Raw genomic sequence first — 20695 nt, 5'->3', positions numbered from 1 at the left:
GCTTTCTACTGCTCATTTGGGAGTGATTTTCACAATAAACTAAAAACATAGATCATTTCAGCAGGAGATAAAATAAATGCACTTGGAGCAGTGTTTAAAGTCCTTTGTTTCCAGTGCATGAGAATTAAACATTTTATGAGAAAGTTTAAGTGCAGCATGAAGCTTTAGAGAAAATTAACCTAGTGTAGCAAGTATGGTCCGTATTTTGGAAAATGTTTATCAAGGTATTTCTACAGAATAGCTGCAGGACCACTACTTTATGTCTACAGAATAATTCCAGAATTCTCCAGCAAGGAGAGTAAACTCTTCTAGCTGAGGCCCGAGTTATGAGGATCGAGGCAGGTGAGGGGGATGAGGGTAGTAACGCAGGTCAGGCCTGTGAGTAAACAAGTATGCAAATAGGAATCAACTCACAAAGAATAGCAAGTCCAAGGTCAAGAAATCCAAACCAGAGTAAGGAGTAACAGAGGAAGAGCCCCATTTCAAGATTACAGGTTATAACATAGAATGTCCAATAAGGGAGGGACTGGCAGGGAGATATCCTTTGTCGTGTTCGTGTACAGAGGAGGCAAGAAGGAAAAGAGAGGGGAAGCAGAAAGGAAAGAAAGAGAAAGGCAACTGAAAGGGGGAGACTCTCTAGGAATTAGAAAGAATCCTAAAGACACATTCCAGGGAATTCTGGAAATTCCCAGCTGGCTGAGAAGCCTCAGGCAATTCATGTGTCTCTGAACCTCAGCTTCCTAGTCTATAAAAGGGGGCTGCTGAGTGGGCTGGTCTTTTAAGATCTATCTTCACCTTTCTGTGATTCTAAGATTACTGGTGTTCTGAAATCTCAGCCAACAAAGATAAGCACAGTTTAGACACCACCAAGGCCAGAAACAGCCTGGTGTGCACAGGGAAGTGCAGGCCAACCTGCTCGGTTAGGAGGGCAGAGCATGGCCAGAAGAAGTTTGGGAGTCCAGCAGAACTTCATTCAACAAATACTTACTGAGTGTCCACCATAAGCCAGGGACCACTGTGGAAAGCAGGCACAGTGGCAGTGTCCCCACCCTCCTGAAGCTTGGATCTCAGTGGAGGAGGCAAACACCATCAAGCAAACAGAAAAATATCTCATTTTAAGCAGAGGTTAAGAGCTACGAAGTAAAAGAAGGCAGGATAATGGAATAAAGAATGATGCAGTAAACTGATGGGAGGCTATTTAGATAGCTGGTCAGAAAAGAAGACAACATTGAGCAGAGACCTGAATAAAGAAGGGAAGGCTGCTGGGAGCTTCTCAAAGTAGATTTAGGTGAAAGATTACCTAGGCCTGAAATAGGGCAGGACTGGTTGAGATGGAGGCAAGGAAACAGAGTTCTTCAATATTGATCAGGTAAACCTGTCAGGCCTAAGCAACCGTTTAGATGTAGGACATGAAAAAATGAGAAGGATGCCGGGCGCAATGGCTCACACCTGTAATTCCAGCACTGTGGGAGGCCAAGGCGGATGGATCGTTTGAAGTTAGGAGTTCGAGATTAGCCTGACCAACATGGTGAAACCCCTTCTCTACTAAACATACAAAAAAATTTAGCTGAGCATGGTGGCCTGTAATCCAGCTACTTGAGAGGGTGAGGCAGGAGAATCACTTGAGCCTGGGAGGCAGAGGTTGCAGTGAGCCAAGATTGTGCCACTGCACCCCAGCCTGGGTGACAGAGAAAGACTCCGTCTAAAAAAAAAAAAAAAAAAAGGAAGGATGGAGGAAAACTCTCTAATATATGGCTTAGGTAGCAAAATAGATGTACCACTCACTGAGAAAAAAAAATGCAGGAGAAAAAGCAGGTTGGGTGAAAGATAATGAGTGGTCTTTTAGAATGATGGGGTTGTAGTGCAATCCCTTCTTTGGTAATATCGCCAGCAGGGGGAGTCTGGAGCTGGAGCAGAGGCTGGGCTGGAGATTGGGACTTGGGAATGAGTGACACCTGGGTGGTCAATGAAGCTATCATCGCCACTAAGATTGACAATTAATCAGCTATCAAGTATTTAGTGAGCACCTACCAAGTGTCAGGCTATACGGCAAGTCGTGAAGGAATTTTCTTCTTAATGGGAGCATGAAAAAAAAATCTTCAAGCAAATAAAATGATTTCAAATACTGATGACAGGGGCAATAAACAAGTTAAAATAAAGTCATGGGATACAAAGTAATGAAGGTGAGGAGGTAGTGATGGCAGAGATTGCTTTAGCTATGGTTGAAGTGAAAACTGAATAAAAAGGACACAGTCCTGTGAAAATCTGATGAAGATCCTTTCAATCAAAAAATTGTAAGTCATTAGGTCCTGAGATGGGAGTAGACTTGGTGTGAGGACAGGTGAAAGGTCAAGGTGGCCATAATAAATGAATGAAGCAGAGTGAAGAGAGGTAAGTGAGCTAGGTTGGTTCACATAGGGAGAAGGCTGGGTTTAATCCCCAGGGAACTTGCGTAAATTGAGAAGAACGGAAGGCTGAGGAAAGATCCCTGGGAAACACCAGCCTGAAGGATAAAAGGAATGTGGTATCACAGAAAGGGTAGACTTTGGAGAAGCAAGTGATAAGTTCTCCAGCAGCAGTGAATTACTTTAATGTTTGTAACGGAGAACAGCTCCTGTTTCATAAAGGATAGAACAAGCAAATTAGCTGGTGAGCATCTTTCCACTCCCTCACAGCCCACTCATAAGCTAAAGGCCCCAGAAGACTGTTTGTCCTGCCACAGGTTCCTTAGTTTCCTCTTCCAATATAATGGCTTCAGTTTACATGGTAATATATACAGCAGCATTGAGTCAATCTCCACAAGACTGTTTTAAGATAGCTGCAAAAAAATACTTCAGTGCTATACGCCATCATTGAGCAGATGAGAAAATGGTAATACACAGATGCCAAACAGCTTTTCCAAGCCAATAATGGCCTATGCTAAAAATACCATCCCTGTCTCCTTGTTCCAAGGTTATTTTTCATTTTGCATCTAGCTAAGCCTCTGTTTGGGGAAAGCTACCATTAGAAGTTTTATGGATTGTCAAACCACACTGCTGGACTGGAACCATAAACCACCTCTCTTGATCCACAGGCACAACACTTCGCTTGGATGTCTGGGATGGATGGAAGGAATTTCTGATGGGTTGTCTCCTTGGACAAAAACTTAAAGTCCAACGCTACTTATCAAAAGAAGGACCAGTACTCAAGTATGAGAAATTAATTTTAAATTAACTTAGCAAGTGCTGTGATTTTTACTAAACTTCCATCATACCTTGAGCCTGCAATTCACTCACTCTACAGCTGGGGTGCTGCTCTATGCCAGTTCCACTTAGTATGTCTCAACCAAATATTATTATTGACATATTTGTTGGAACAAAACAGCAGGGATGCCATCAGGACTGATAGTCTTGCGATTCAGGTAGACTTTCCTCAGGAAATACTAACTACAATTAACCTTTGAACAATGCAGGGGTTAGGGATGCCAACTCCCCATACAGTTGAAAATTCCCATATAACTTTTGACTTCCCCAAAACTTAGCTACTAATAGCCTACCATTGACCAGAAGCCTTACTGATAACACAGTCAATTAACACGTTGTGTATATGTATTATATACCATATTCTTACAATAAAGTAAGCTACAGAAAAGAAAATATTAAGAAAATCATAAGGAAAAGAAAATATATTTCCTAGTCATTAAGTGGATGTGGATCATTATAAAGGTCTTCAATCTTCAGGTTGAATAAGGCTGAGGGGGAGAAAGAGGAGAAGGGGTTTGTCTTGCTGTCTCAGGTGTGGCAGAGGTGGAAGAAAATCCCCAAACTGAACCCTGACAGTTCAAACTCATGTTGTTCAAAGGTCATTAAATGGTGATTAAATGGGTGACTTCGATTTGGTTTAGATATGAGACTTTCAGCAACATTTTTAAAGACTATCAGAATAAATACAGACAGTCCACAACTTATGATGGTTCAACTTAGATTTTTCAACTTACAATGGTGTAAAAGTGATATTAATTCAGTAGAAACCAAACTTCCAGTGCCCATAAAACAATTCTTTTTCATTTTCAGTACAGCATTCAATAAATTATAGGATATATTCAACAGTACATTATAATATAGGCTTTGTGTTAGATGATTTTGCCCAACTGTATGCTAATTAAGGTAGGCTAGACTAAGATTTGATGTTCAGTAGATTAGGTGTATTAAATGCATTTTAGACTTATGATACTTTCAGCGTATGATGGTTTTTATCAAGACGTAACTCTATAATAAGTCAAAGGACGTCTGTATCTTGCCAATTTCACATTCAGTTATTCTTTAAGAAAACACTTGTTAATTGGCTGAAAACATTGGCCACGTCTTCCTAAGCTCACATGTAATTTTTCAAACTGCATTTATTACCAGCATTCACACTTTTGCTATACATAAAGTGTAACGGGTATAGCTGGGGCAGGAGGAGGGTTGGTTCAGAGAGGCAGGCGGTCATTTTAATGTGTTAATACAGCCATCAGCTTCTCAAATACATAAATTGCACTAATCTGTAGGTTTAATAGTACTTTAGAAAAGTGCCCCCTCATGGGTGATTTAATCATGTTTTGCAGAAGCCAACACACCAGGAGGTCTGAGGCTCTGTGAAGTGATGGATTAGAAGAGCAGATTTTACAATTTTATAAAATATTCTAATATTTTATACTAATTTCTATTGTGGGGTAGTGATATTTCTTTTTCCATGTTCTGCATCCAAAGAAATAGCTGTGTTGCTTTGTTACTTTTAATAGTGTATATTTATTTAATACTTTACGGCAGACACTGTGTTATATTTATTACCTCATTTTATGCTTGTAACAATTTGATGAGGCGGACACTTTTTAATCTTATTTTACACATGAGGAAACTAAGATCAGAAAACCTGCCCCATGTTGGCTGGGCACAGTGGTTCACACCTGTAATCCCATTACTTTGGGAGGCCAAGGTGGGCAGATCACTTGAGGTCAGGAGTTCGACACCAGCGTGGCCAACGTAGCGAAATTCCTGTTTCTACAAAAAATACAAAAATTAGCCAGGTGTGGTGGCTCGCACCTGTAATCCCAACTACTGAGGAGGCTGAGGCAGGATAATTGCTTCAACTCGGGAGGTGGAGGTTGCAGTGAGCCAAGATTGCATCACTGCACTCCAGCCTGAGCAACAGAGCAAGACTCTGTCTGGGGAGGGGGGATGGAGGAAGAAAACCTGCCCCATGTCACACAAATAGCAAGGGCAGAACTGGGTATTGAATTGTAACAATTTAACTCTAGTGTTCATGTGCTTGACCATCTATACTTGACTTCATCTTTAAATAAAATCTAATAGCTCAGAGAATGTACATGATCAGACTTAAAAGCTCCTTGTATTTCCCCATGCATGATATTTTTCGAGGATTTAATTTTTATAAGAAAGATGACCACTTCAAGGAAACTATTTACACGTGCATAGTAGGATAATGTGTATAAGCAGGACTTGTGCAGTTTAACCTGTATGTCACTATATGCCTTTTCTAAAAATATTTTAAGGTAAAAGTTAAGAAGAAATAAACATTCAACTAGAATATTTCATGAGCATTTAGTGTAACTACATTTGTCTGTTTGCTGATTTTCTAAACACCCCCTCCCCACTTGTTTCACTCATTTAGGTATCAGAAAAGGGTAGCCCTGTACATTGCTGCTTTTTGTGGGTACATTGAACTCACTGAATGGGCCCTGAAGCAGGGTGCGCGGCCCCACGAGGCAGTCGGTGTTCACCCCTATCGAGCATGGTGCCATGAAGCCCTTCATGCAGATGTCTCTAAATGCCCCATTCATGCAGCCGCAGAAGCAGGCCAACTGTTGATTCTGAAGGCCTTTGTCAACTACAGTGTGCTGTGCCTGGAATGCAAAAATGCAGCAGGACAAACTCCCCTGACCATTGTGTTCAAACACAAGCATAAAGACTGTGTATTATATTTGCTCAGTAAAATGTGGTCCACAGTTTCTTTTCCAAAAATTTCAGTCCCAATGAGGATTTATATTAAAATAAAACAATGGATCCTCAGAGCTCAGAGTCACAGTCTTCATAAAAGCCAGTTTTGTGGAGCAAGGGTCTTTGGGGCAAAAGTTGGAGACACTGTGATGGTGGATGGTTTCACCAAACCAAAAATGACCTCCAAGAGCTGGCATAAGGCTGGGAACAGCGACTCACAAAGCATCGTGCTCAAGCTACCATCTCTCAGCAAACAAACTGCAAGCAGCAAACCTGTCAATCCTTTGGCAATTTCACAGCCGGACACAAGAAAACAAGCCCTCAAATTTCATCCACTGGTGAATGCAAGTTCATTCTCTGAATTACAAAAACATCAACAACAAAATCAGAAAAAAATTACTGCCACAGCTAGGAAAAAAGAAAAGCTCATAAAAAACACATATCTTCCCCAAGTCCCCCTCCCTCCAGTTTCAAGAGTGGGATATTCACATCCATCGTTTTTCTATGCAACACCCAGTGCTGACTTTTTACTGAAGTCCTCCTTCTCATCTTTCTTAGAGCACAGTGGGAAGACTCCATGGGAGAACGCAATCTACTGCTTAGCTGTGGCAAGGTAATGTTCTCCCCTTAAACATACAAACAGCAAAGCTTTTATAAGGCAGGTCCAGGATAAGGAATGGTCCATAATGCCCTACTATGCCACTGAAAGTAATACAAGTTGTTCCAGTGCATCAATACCCAGCTTCAAGGACCTCATCTTAGCCTCATCACTAGGACAAAATGAATTAATATTATTGGCCAATCCAATCTGTGCAGTACTTTACTCCTCAAACTTTCAGGAGGGAAAGAAACACAGTAGAAAGAATTGTATCAATTCTCAAGGTCCCTTGCTGCTGCTGCTGCTGCTGCTGCTGCTGCTGCTGCTGCTGCTGCTGCTGCTGCTGCTGCTGCTTTTCTTTTTTCTTTTTGTTTGAGACAGGGTCTCGTTCTGTTGCTCAGGCTGGAGTGCAGTGGTGCTATCACAGCTCATTGCATTCTTGAATTCCTAGGCTCAAGCAATTCTCCCATCTCAGCCTTCCAAGTAGCTGGGACTACAGGCACATGCCACTATATCTGATTGATTTTTTTTTTCTGTAGAGATGAGGACTCACCATGTTGCCCAGGTTGGTCTCAAACTCCTGGGCTCAAGCGATCCTCCCACCTTGGCCTCCCAAAGTGCTGGGATTACAGGCATGAACCACTGTGCCTAGCCTGCTAATGCTTCTTCTTTTTCCTCCTCTTCCACTTCTTTGTCTTCCTCTTCTTCTTCTAAAGCTAATAAAACATTAATTGTAATTAGAGGGGAAAGAGAGAAAACTGAAATATGGGAGGGAGACATAAAAAGTGTCATAGAAAACTAAATGGTAATGAAAATGGGAAGAAAGAAAGGAACACATTAATGACAAATTGAATGATTAAAGACTTGAATTGACTGACTAGGCAAGATACACATATGGGGTGAGATCTGTATTGGACAGGGTGCTAGAATTGACATTAATATTTACAGTGAGTTAAAAGGTAATCCTTAGCACATCTAAAGAGATAAGAAAGTGTATCGGAATTAGATGTTTAAGGTACACAACTCTCTGATTAGAGCTCAGATCCCATCCATTACTTATGAGGTATTATTTGATGCAAATTTTACAGTTAGAAATATAGATTTACAAGCGACTTTTCCCTTTACTCAATATAATGAGAAGTAAAGAAAAAACAAGGCTAGATTGTTCTACTTGCTTTTCTGTACTGGTCTTTAGCTCAGCTCAACTTTATTTCAGTTAGGTTGTTGCCACCTTGTGGTGAGAGTAATTTGGGCTGTAAAACTCAAAATTCAATATCCAACAGAGTGAGGTTGACAATAGAGGAAGACACTTAATAGCTTAATAGTCTCAATCTTTGTAATTTGTGAGATATCTCTGACTAGAATGTATAAAAAGAGATCACCAAAAATTCTAGAAATATACTAGGAAAATTATTAATTGAAAAAACTACATAGTCCCTCTTAAAATAAGGCTGTAAACAAGAAAGGAAATATTGATTTGTTTTATCAACAGATACATGCTAAAAATGAGTTTATTTTTCAAACATTCAGTAAGTGTTTACTATAGCCCAGTGCTGTGCCCAGCAGAATGGAAATGTGCATGAAAAAGCATCTGTTTTTAAGGTGTGTGTGTGTGTGTGTGTGCATGTGTGTGTGTGTGGTTTTAGATAAGAAAAGCTGACAGTGTCTGTTGTTGTATACAGTGCTTTCTTGGGGAGGAAATGAGTTATGAAATATATAGTAAAATCCATAAGGACCACTAATCTCACATATATGGCTTGTTGAATTTTTATGTTTTCATACAAGCACTACTCAGATCAGATGCAAACTATTTCCAGCACCCCCCAAAATTTCCTTCATGCCCCTTGCCAGTCATGATCCTTCCCGGATGTAACTATTATTCTCATCTCTATCACCGAAGATTACTTTAGCCTGTTCTTGAACTTCATATAAAGGGCACATATGGCATATACCTTTGATATTTTGCTTTTTTTGTTCAACACATTGCCTATAAGATTCATCAGTGTTTTTGCATGTATTGATTGTTCTTATTTCTATGTAGCATTCCATTTGTATGCAGTATTCCATATCCTAATTTATTTATCTATTTTCCTACTGATGGACATTTAAATTGTTTCTAATTTAGGGGCTACTTTGAATAAAAATGCATGATTGTTCTTGCATATGAGTTTTGGTGGACATCTGCGTTCACTTCTCTTGACTCTATACCAAGGAATAGAATTGCCGGGTCATAGGATAAATTTATGTTTAGCTTTAGTAAACATTTCAAAACACTTTTTAAAAGAGACTACCAGTGTGCTTTTTTTTTTGTAGCTACATTTCATAAGGATTGGAATTATTAATGAGTGGCAATTTCAAGGTCAAGAAAGAAATTTCTAGAGAAAACATTTTGTTAAAGTGTTATTCTGTGAAGGAAAGAGAGAGAGGAAAGAAGGAAAGAAAATAAGGAAGGAAGGAAAGAGAGAAAGAGAGGAAGAAAGAAGGAAGGAAGGAAAGAAAAAGAAAGAAAGAAGGAAGGAAAGAAAGAAAGAGAGAGGAAGGGAGGAAGGGAGGAGAGGAGGGAGGGAGGGAGGAAGGAAGGGAGGGAGGGAGGGAGGGAGGGAAGGAAGGAAGGGAAAGGAAGGAAGGGATTAATGCAGAAGGGAGACCCATAGGGGGAGTGGTGGTCAGTCTGACCGCACATTTACTCTGGCAGTGTTACTCCTAGCAAATCCTCTTTCCATTTCTCTTTTCTCAATATTTTTCTCTTTCCTGTATTCACACCCTCCACTTCCCATCCATTTCTGCCCCCTTTCCACTGAATCTTTCCCAGGATCTGTTCCACCTTCCTTTGTTGGTGGGCTGTGGAAGGGAAGGAGAGATCTACAATCTCATGACCCTGCAGTCTTCTTGATCGAGTTCAAGTTCCCCATAGAAGTCACAAAAGCACTTACATCTACCTGAAGTAGACAGTCAAGGCAGGCAGTCAGGTGGTCTGAGCACCCCTCTAAATGACCAGTGCAGCTCTTGTACCACAAAGACACAAACATGAGGAATGGATGGACGCTATCTTGATGGCTACATGCACCATCACCAAGCTAGTGTCATAGCCAGGAAATGGGGAAGAACCTAATGTAATCCTTCATGATGCTGACCCAGGGATCAGGTGGGTAAAGTGACCATCAGATGTTCCTGTTTTACAGAAAGGGGAGTCTCCCAAAGCAGACAAGTCATCTGGCATCATGTGAAAGTACTTGTTGGACCACATGTCATTCAGGAACTCCTACCTTTAGATTCATAAAACTAAACCTCTCAGGGTTGACTCCAAGATGGCATTATGCAGTTAACACAGATCAAGCGCTAATGTGGGTTTGGGTTGGTGAGTAAATGTGGCTGGTGTAGACAGTCACTGAGGCCAGAAGGTCACATAGAGTCTCATTCCTCAGCCTAGACGTCAGTAGGCTTTACACAGGTCAAAGAATATCTGTAAGGTGTGTCTAGAAAATAGCTTTCCTTATTGCTCATTGTCCAATTCCAGAGAGGTTTATGTGACCTGGGAGTCCAGTTAAGTAAAGATTCAAATGTAAGGGATTGATCCAGAAGGCTGAGAGTTTGAGTGGACTGAGAATAGATGATAATCTCAAATGTTATGAGCTTTGCTGGGCTCTTGTACTCTGGATACAAGTACAGCTCTTTGTTTTTATTCTTTATTTAAAAAGGCATATCTTGTATGTTTTAATCACCTTTTGTATCTCCAGCACATAGAATAGTGCTTGCCATAGAGTAAGTGCTCAATACGCATCTTTTTCTTAAGGTAAACAGTTTTTGAATGAATGCAGAAAAGCCAGGTTTCAAATGCCAGGGAGAGAATCAGGATAGGCTCTGAGCCTAGGAAGAGCAAGGATATGCATCAGAACAGGAGAGGACTTCAAACTAAGTCTGGTGGGATACAGGGAAAGGCTGAAAGTGCCTGAATGATTTCTTTAAGACTTAACACCTAATTTTATGGGCTGCATGGATGGGTTAACTCAGTTTAGAGGGCACAGAAAGACACAGCCATTGAGGTAAAGCAAGAAGTTAATCTAGAACAAAGAAGTTGAATCAGGCAGACATAGACCTGGTTCAAATGTTGGAAACACTATGGTACTTTTATACAGGGTTACTCCTAATAGATTGAGTGAAAGCCTTTTAGAAATACCAGACTTTGCCAGACAACATGGGCAGAGGTGAGGTAAAGGATCCAGGCAGAGCTAGTAACATGGTCAAAGGCACTTTTGTGAAAGAGCAAGCAAGAAATTGAATTTTCAGGAAGGTACGTGGATTTGCAAAAGTCATCCTAGGCAATAAGGAAGAACTGGCTGGAGATAAGACTGGCAAAGTAGACTGCATCTACACTAAGAAGCATCTTGTGTGACCAAGTGAAGAGTTTGCTTCTTATTCCCCCTTCCATGGGGTAGGAGGTAGGTGGGAAGCTCATAGAAGTTCTTTTTCATGAAGTAAGTTCCATAATCAGTTTTTGTTTGTTTTTGAAGACAAATCTGATAGAGATGTATGGAAGACTCGTTGGAAAGATGTGGAAAGACTATAGTAAAGGTAGGAAGCTGCAAAAAGAGAAATAAGAGAAAATAAAGACCTGGACTAGAACAACAGTAGTTAGGGAAAAGAGAAAAGGCCAAATACAAGAGATATTTCTGGGGAATAATCCACAAAATTTGGTCACTGACTGGGTGTGGAAATAGAGAAAGAAGGAATTTAGTTTCGTTTCTAGCTTTGGAGATGGTGAGGATAGCAAAATCGAAGTGTTAGAACAAGGAAACAGAAGTGGGACAAGTTTAGGAAGAAGATAAAGATATGTTAAATTAGAAGTGTCTATGGGATGAATATTTTTATTTGTTAATTGGAGATATGCCACTTTTGAGAAAGGTCAAGGAGTCATGGATAAAAGAATTTAAACAGTGAGTAAATGAGGACTCCTAGGATGAGGGTGTAGAAAGAGAGGAGGACCAAAGATAGAATCTTGGAGGACCCCAACATTTAAGGTGATGTAAAACACCTCTGTATTAAATCACATTTGCATCCTACAAAGAGTAATCGTATTCAAATTTGCAAGTCTTTATTAGTATATAGCCAGAGAATAACTATCATAAAACATTAAGTTCCTTTGCATTTTAGTTAAAGACTATCAAAATACCTAATATCTTTTCAATTAAAAAATCCTCATGTGTGTTCGTAGGGGTAGAAAGTGGAGAAAAGAGGAGGCCAGGGAATATGTGATGTATAGGAATATCTAGAGAGGAGAGAGAAAAAGTTTCAACCCAGAGAATTCTACATGATATTGAGTGGCTTTCTGTTTCTAGTTGTGGATTCTAAGTTTTTAGTATTGCCTTGAGAAAATATCATTCCCACTGCATCACAGGGAACTTGTTTTAGAAAGATTACTGTTTCTATTTCACATCTACCTATGTGACAAGACAAACTAGCCCTAGCTACAAAATCAACCTGAAGATTTCCATCCTTTTTCAGCTATGTATGCAGACAAGATCAGACCTCCTTACAAATTATATCTTGTTTTCTTGCAGTGCCTTTAAAGAGAAACGATGGCTTCAGCAGTTAGAAATAGCAAGAGTCCTGGCCAAAAAGAGCATTTCTAACTTGACTACCCGAGGAGGTCTGACAGCGTGTGAAAACTCTCTAGAAACTGTGCTTTGAAAAGTCATGACAACTTCAGTTTGGACAAAGACCTGATCAAACAGAATGTCCAGTTCTAATGTTAACATTTCTAATAACAGTTCTAATGTTATCATCTCTAGTAACAGTTATAATGCCACATAACTTTTAATAGGATATTTAACACCATGTTTTCTCAGACTTCATCACACTAAGTGAAACTTTAGTGCTATTTTTGCATAAAGAATATGAGGAAGAATTCAGAAGAAACTTAGAATAGTAGTTGTCCACAGGGTAGGGGAGCTGAGACAATGGAAAACAAGGAAGTGGGAATTTTTACAGTTCCTTTGTTTGTTTTTCTTTTTTTTTCCTAAAAAAATGTGTTTTGGTTTTTTAAGCCATATGAATGTAGAACATATTTAAAAATAAATAAAATTTTTAAATTATATTTAAGGAAAGTTCTTAAGAAAGTTAACAAATACCATCCAGGTCTAAAGCTGATCTCAGACATCTTTTGAACTGCTAAAACATTGTTTCCAATTAATTTTTTAAATTGAGTTAAAATTTACATGCAGTGAATTGCATGAATCTTAAATGTAAGATTCAATGGGTTTGAAAAATATCCCAGTCAAAACATAGAACATTTTTGTTACCCCAGGAAGTTGCTTCAAGCTCCTAAGTCAATCCCAACTTCTTTAGGTAACTGCTATTCTGATTTCTAGCTCCGTAGATGAGATTTTCAAATCACTGGTATCATGCAGTTGTTCACTTTTGTGTCTGGGTTATTTTGCTCAACCTAATGTTTTAAGAATCATTTGCATTACTGCACATATCAGTAGTACATTCCTTTTTTTCTTTTTTTCTTTTTTTTTTTTTTTTTTTTTGAGACAGAGTGTTACTCTGTCATCCAGGCTGGAGTGCAGCAACACGATCTCAGCTCACTGTAACCTCCACCTCCCAGGTTTAAGCAATTCTCTGGCCTCAGCCTCCTGAGTAGGTGGGATTACAAGGGTGTGTCCCCACACCCTGAGTAGCTGGGATTACAAGCATATGTCACCACACCCAACTAATTTTTGTATTTTTAGTAGAGACAGGGTTTCACCATGTTGGCCAGGCTGGTCTCGAACTCCTGACCTCAACTGATCCACCTCCCTTGGCCTCCCAAAGTGCTGGAATTACAGGCATGAGCCACCATACCCAGCCATACATTCCTTTTTATTACTAAATAGTATTCGATTATATGGTTGCACCATAATGCATGGTGTATGGACTGTATGGATGTTTGGGTTGCCTCCAGTTTTGACATATTATGAAAAAAGCTCTATGAACATTATTGTAAAAAGTATTTTTCTGGACATGCTTTCATTTCTTTTGGGTAAGTATCTAGGAGTAGAATTGTTGGATAATAGGGTGAATGTACATTTAACATTATGAGAAACTACCTAAGAGTTCTCCAAAGTGGCTTTATGATTTTTAACACTTTGACTAGCAATGTACAAGAGTTCTGGTGGCTTCACACACTTGGTGTCATCAGTGTTTTTTACCTTTAAGTCATTCTAGGGGGTTTGAAATGGCCTATCATTGTGGTTTAATTTGCATTTTCCTGATGACTATAATGCTGGATGCCTTTTCATGTGTTTATTGGCCATTTGTGTATCTTTTGTGAAGTATCAATGCAAATTTCTGCCTATTTAAAAAATTGGGTTATCTTTTAATTATTGGCTTGTTGGAGTTTTTGTATTTATGATACAAGTTCTTCATCAGATATATATAGATATAGATATATGGTGCATATTTTTCCCAGTCTGTGGGATCACCTTTTCATTTTATTAATAATGTTTTTTGACAAACAAAAATGTTTTAACTTTGATGAAGTAGAAGTTATCATTTTTTTCTTTTATGGTTCATGCTTTTTATTTCCTCTGTAAGAACTCTGCCTGGCCTGATGTGGTAGCTTATGCCTGTAATCCCAGCACTTTGGAAGCCTGAGGTGAGCGGATCACTTGAGGTCGGGAGTTTGATACCAGCCTGCCAACATGATGAAAACCTGTCTCTACTAAAAATACAAAAATTAGCCAGGCATGGTGGCGCATGCCTGTAATCCCAGCTTCTCAGGAGGCTGAGGCAGGAGAACCGCTTGGAACCAGGAGGCAGAGGTTGCAGTGACCCAAGATAGTGCCCCTACACTCCAGCCTGGGCAACAGAGTGAGACTCTTATCTTAAAAAAAAGAACTCTGCCTACTCAAATGTAATGAAGATATTCTCTTATATTTTCTTCTAGAAGTTCAATAATTTTATGTTAGGTTTATAATCTATCTCAAATTTGTGTGAATGATGTGTGGTAAGGGTTGGGATTAATTTTTGAAAAGACTTTCCTTTTCCTCACTGAATTACCTTAGCATCTCTGCTGAAAATCTCTGCTGAATCTCTGCTTAGCATCTCTGCTGAAAATCAATTGGCAATATAGGTACAGATCTATTTCCAGACTTTCTATTTTGTTCCATTGATTTATTTACTTGTCCTTATACTAATACTACACTGTCTTAATTACTATGTCTTAATTAGCCTTGAAATCAGGTAATATGTATCCTCCAACTTTGTTATTGTTTTTCAAGTTTGTTTTGGCTATTTTTAGTCCTTTGCATTTCCATATAAAATTTAAAATAAACTTGTCATTCTCTATTTTAAAAGCCTGTTGGGTTAGCCCAAGACTTGAGCCAATTCTCATACCTGGACACTCTTGTCCTTCAGTACATGGATGATTTACTTTTAGCCACCCATTCAGAAACCTTGTGCCATCAAGCCACCCAAGCACTCTTAAATTTCCTCGCTACCTGTGGCTACAAGATTTCCAAACCAAAGGCTCAGCTCTGCTCACAGCAGGTTAAATACTTAGGGCTAAAATTATCCAAAGGTACCAGGGCCCTCAGTGAGGAACATATCCAGCCTATACTGGCTTATCCTCATCCCAAAACCCTAAAGCAACTAAGAGGGTTCCTTGGCATAACAGGTTTCTGCCGAATATGGATTCCCAGGTATGGCGAAATAGCCAGACCGTTATATACACTAATTAAGGAAACTCAGAAAGCCAATACCCGTTTGGTAAGATGGACACCTGAAGCAGAAGTGGCTTTCCAGGCACTAAAGAAGGCCCTAACCCAATCCCCAATGTTAAGCTTGCCAACGGGGCAAGACTTTTCTTTATATGTCACAGAAAAAACAGGAATAGCTCTAGGAGTCCTTACACAGGTACGAGGGACAAGCCTGCAACCTGTGGCATACCTGAGTAAGGAAATTGATGCACTGGCAAAGGGTTGGCCTCATTGTTTACTGGTAGTGGTGGCAGTAGCAGTCTTAGCATCTGAAGCAGTTAAAATAATACAGGGAAGAGATCTTACTGTGTGGACATCTCATGATGTGAACAGCATACTCACTGCTAAAGGAGACTTGTGGCTGTCAGACAACTGTTTGCTTAAATATCGGGCTCTATTACTTGAAAGGCCAGTGCTGCGACTGCACACTTGTGCAACTCTTAACCCAGCCACATTTCTTCCAGACAATGAAGAAAAGATAGAATATAACTGTCAACAAGTAATTGCTCAAACCTATGCCGCTCAAGGGGACCTTTTAGAGGTTCCCTTGGCAGATCCCGACCTCAACTTGTATACTGATGGAAGTTCCTTTGTAGAAAAAGGACTTTGAAAAGTGGGGTATGCAGTGGTCAGTGATAATGGAATACTTGAAAGTAATCCCCTCACTCCGGGAACTAGTGCTCAGCTGGCAGAACTAATAGCCCTCACTCGGGCACTAGAATTAGGAGAAGAAAAAAGGGTAAATATATATACAGACACTTAAGACTAGGGGCTTGCCTAGTCCTCCATGCCCATGCAGCAATATGGAGAGAAAGGGAATTCCTAACTTCTGAGGCAACACCTATCAAACATCAGGAAGCCATTAAGAGATTATCATTGGCTGTACAGAAACCTAAAGAGGTGACAGTCTTACACTGCCAGGGTCATCAGAAAGAAAAGGAAAGGGAAACAGAATGGAACCACCAAGCGGATATTGAAGCCAAAAGAGCTGCAAGGCAGGACCCTCCATTAAAAATGCTTATAGAAGGACCCCTAGTATGGGGTAATACCCTCCAGGAAACCAAGCCCCAGTACTCAGCAGGAGAAATAGAATGGGGAACCTCAAGAGCACATAGTTTCCTCCCCTCAGGATGGCTAGCCACCGAAGAAGGGAAAATACTTTAGCCTGCAGCTAGCCAACGGAAATTACTTAAAACCCTTCACCAAACCTTTCACTTAGGCATTGATAGCACCCATCAGATGGCCAAATCATTATTTATGGGACCAGGCCTTTTCAAAACTATCAAGCAGATAGTCAGGGCCTGTGAAGTGTGCCAAAGAAATAATCCCGTGCACTGCAGTCCACACATTTCAATCCCTGTATCTTTAACCTCCTTGTTAAGTTTGTCTCTTCCAGAATTGAAGCTGTAAAGCTACAAATAGTTCTTCAAATGGAGCCCCAGATGCAGTCCATGACTAAAATCTACCGCAGACCCCTGGACTGGCCTGCTAGCCTGTGCTCCAATGTTAATGACATCAAAGGCAACCCTCCCAAGGAAATCTCAACTGCACAACCCCTACTATGCCCCAATTCAGCAGGAAGCAGTTAGAGCGGTCGTTGGCCAACCTCCCCAACAGCACTTGAGTTTTCCTGTTGAGAGGGGGGACTAAGAGACAGGACTAGCTGGATTTCCTAGGCCAACTACGAATCCCTAAGCCTAGCTGGGAAGGTGACCACTTCCACCTTTAAACACGGGGCTTGCAACTTAGCTCACACCTGACCAGTCAGATAGTAAAGAGAGCTCACTAAAATACTAATTAGGCAAAAACAGGAGGTAAAGAAATAGCCAATCATCTATTGCCTAAGAGCACAACGGGAGGGACAATGATCAGGATATAAACCCAGACATTCGAGCTGGCAATGGCTACCCTCTTTGGGTCCCCTCCCTTTGTATGGGAGCTCTGTTTTCACTCTACTAAATCTTGCAACTGCTAAAAAAAAAAACAAAAAACAAAAAACAAAAACAAAAAAAAACCCTGTTGGGATTCTTCTGATAGGGCACAACTGACATTTTAATAATATTAAATCTTATAATCCATGACGTATATTTCTGTATCGGTGGTATACATTTCCATTTATTCAAGTCTTAATTCCTCTCAGCAAAGTTTTGTAAATTTTAGTGTATAGGTCTTGCAAATCGTCTGTTAAAGTTTTTTTCTAAATATTTTATATTTTAGAGGCAATTTACTAAGATGATTATAAGATAGATTTTGGTAAAATAGTCAGAGGCGCCTAAAATCTAAGGCTCATTCTAAAAAATGCCTTTGAGTTCCCAATTAGATATTGCTGGGTTGGGGCACAAAGGTTAATACAAACACACACACATGCACGTGCAGACACTCACACACGCATTCACACACATAGATGATTCTACAGGGATGTTGTAAGGCAGCATGTGTATAGGTATTAGTTCACTATAGAGAAAACAAGAGATGATAGTGACTGGCAGGAGGCACAGCAGAAATTCTGGGGTGTTGTAACATTCTATTTCTTGTTCTGGAGTAATAGGTGTGTTTAATTTGAGAAGATTCAACAATGAGTATTTAAAAAATCTGTACCCTTTTCTGTTTGCATTTATAATACATTTTTTTAATGAATTAAAATAATTTTTTAAAATGTCAGGAGCTAATTCATGCATTTGGTGCCAGCTTTAGAGTCATGAGAAGGTGGCTGGTGTGAGTGAGGCTTGTCACCACGTTATTGTCCTCTTGACAGTATAGTGAATTGAGCTGTAATTCCTTGCAGGGGGTGATAATATTTTATGTGTCATTGAAACACAGCTAAGGAAATATCCTGTGCAAGGATTCTGGGCTAGAATACCTAAGAAGGAGAAAATAAATGGGAAAATATAAGAGAAAAGAAAGACGTATGAGCTGGAGGGGGATAGAAAGATGCAGAGAGAATGTGAGGGGATGATTGATATGAAGCCTTGTTCTCTACCAGCATCAATTGAAAAAAATACTGAGTATTTATTATTTGTTCACATTCACCCTGGAAGTAAGATAGCATGAAGTGACATTAAGACTGTATATATTTATAATGTAAATCTAATTGTAGAGCATTAGTATTAACATGCACAGGATATGCTGGGACATTTATTCTCAGCCTGATTCTTTTAAATTAGAGTTAATGTACATTCCCTATGCTTCCTTCTCATTTTGTTCATTCTCCAAGTATTGCTACTCATCACACTGTATGGAAATTACTTCATTATCTTTCTCCCTCACTTTTCTGACACCTCCTAGAGGGCAAGGACATTGTTTTATTCATCTACAAATTGCCAAAGCATAGCATATCTTTGAACCTTTAAGGAATTGCTTAATAAAGTTTGTTAAATTAAATGAATGGCTTTTAAGATGATTATTTGTGAATTTATAGGAGCATAAAATCTGCTCCTATAAAATGTAAATGCTGCTGTTTGCTTAATTCTAATTTATTGTTTCATTTGATCATCAAAATCAATTTTTAATGTGAATTTATTAGTTCATCTGAGCATCATAACAGCCCTGCATGGCACAGAAGGGCAGTATTAAAATGCCAGTTTTACAGACGAAGAGGCTATGGTTATAACATAAAAACAACTTATTAGAAGTCATACAGGTAGTGTCAGAGCCAGATCTGGAATCTAGAGTTTTGAATTTTCACTCAGGTAATTTTTTCTAAACAATTATATCACTTATGGCAACAGAAGTCACTCTATAAATTATCCTGGGGTGTTTTAACTCCCAGGCTGGTTTTTCTTGGATATAACTTGGTTTCTTTCTTTTTTTTTTTTTTGACAGTGTCTGACTCTGTCACCCAGGCTGGAGTGCAGTGACTCAAATCTTGCTCACTGCAACCTCTGCCTCGCAGGTTCAAGCAATTTTCATGCCTTGGGCTACCAAGTAGCTGGGACCACAGGTACATGCCACCAAGCTTTGCTAATTTTTGTATTTTTAGTAGAGATGGGGTTTTACCATGTTGGTCAGGCTAGACTTGAATTTCTGGCCTCAAGTGATCCTCCCGCCTTGGCCTTCCAAAGTGCTGGGTTTACAGGCATCAGCCACCATACCTGGCCTAACTTGGTTCCTTGACCACCTTTTTTAGACAGCCTATTGTGCTACTCCCTAGTCTCACCTTCACCTCGCCTGTCCTCACTTCATTCCCTGAGATTACAGACAAGAAAGGCCATTTCATATTGGCATAATATTGTGTCTATTTGCAAATTCATTTCAGCATTCCTACTCCCTATATATGTACAGTTCTTGAATACCTCTTTTGAATCAGTTGAAACTGGTTTTTACTGTAATCTCTCATTAATTACAGAATGCTGTAATTCTCTCATTAATTAACTAGTTCAATACATTTTTTGACATGTGTTCATTGTACACTTGTAGAAGAATCATGATTTTACCTTTTCTGAAAATTATTCTTTAATAATGGATGTTTTCTCAATAATGTGTGAATAAAGGCAACTTCAGGAAATGATGCAATTTTTGCTAATCTGCAATTCACAGTCTAAGTAAAAGTTGTGTTCTCTCTGCAAATGCTACTTCAAGAACTAACTAATAAGTTCAAGGACCTGTCTTTCTGTGTCCCAGTGGAAGAAACAATTTCAGTCAGATGTGAAGGACAAAGTAGACACAGAGAAGTGAATTGAAAAACTCTTCCAATTTTTAGTCTGCCTGGGAGACTCAGAATATAGAGTTGTCTCAAGCCTTAGATAGAAAAGACAGATATGAAGAGTCTTCTTCCCTTCCCCTCTCTTCCTCCACACCCTCCATTTTCAAGGGGTTAAGATTTGAAGAATCATATTCCTATCAATTAGCAACTTTATCATCTCTGATATTTGAACCACAGCAGGTGAGAAGAGAGTTGGAAAAGGAACTAAATTATCACAGGCGCTAAATACTTTTTAAAAGGCATTGCTCTGGGCCAGGTGTGGTGGTTCATGCTTGTAATCCCAGCACTTTGGGAGGCCAAGTTGGCTGGATGACTTGAGGTCAGGAGTTCAAGACCAGCCTGGCCAACATGGTGAAAACCCGTCTCTACTAAAAATACAAACATTAGCCAGGCATGGTGGTGGGCGCTTGTAATACCAGCTACTCGGGAGGCTGAGGCAGGAGAATCGCTTGAACCCGGGAGGCAGAGGTTGCAGTGAGCCGGGCGACAGAGCGAGACTCCATGTAAAAAACAAAACAAAACAAAACAAACAAACAAAAACATTGCTCTGAATCCTGTAAGCATCGGTCATTGTCATCATTATCTTTATCCTAATTTATAATCACTCATAAAACTTGTCAGAAGCTTTCAGCTTTCAGGCTGTTATGTAGAAGGATGGGCTTTGCAGCAGGTAAGTGAG

General features: G+C 39.7%; 1 protein-coding gene across 6 annotated transcripts in view; it reads left to right on the top strand.

Annotated features, from left to right (window-relative positions):
- ANKUB1 (ankyrin repeat and ubiquitin domain containing 1) overlaps positions 1 to 12648 on the top strand; it is a 31455-nt gene extending 18807 nt beyond the window's left edge. For 4 of the 6 annotated variants that reach the window (NM_001315505.2, XM_011512798.2, NM_001144960.3 and 1 more), the window contains 3 exons: positions 3074 to 3188; positions 5653 to 6591; positions 12135 to 12648. In NM_001315505.2, coding sequence (NP_001302434.1) covers positions 3074 to 3188; positions 5653 to 6591; positions 12135 to 12264 — 1184 coding nt within the window. In that variant the 3' untranslated portion in view covers positions 12265 to 12648. Of the gene's footprint in view, positions 1 to 3073; positions 3189 to 5652; positions 7121 to 12134 lie in introns of those variants that run through there. The other 2 variants (XM_011512799.2, NM_001315506.2) reach the window with 2 other exon arrangements.
- Positions 12649 to 20695: the final 8047 nt, after the last annotated feature.

This window comes from Homo sapiens, chromosome 3, assembly GCF_000001405.40.
Source record: "Homo sapiens chromosome 3, GRCh38.p14 Primary Assembly".
In the NCBI taxonomy this organism is placed as follows: Eukaryota; Metazoa; Chordata; class Mammalia; order Primates; family Hominidae; genus Homo; species Homo sapiens.
Note: the sequence above shows the minus strand (reverse complement) of the source record. Positions and strands in the feature narration are given on the sequence as shown.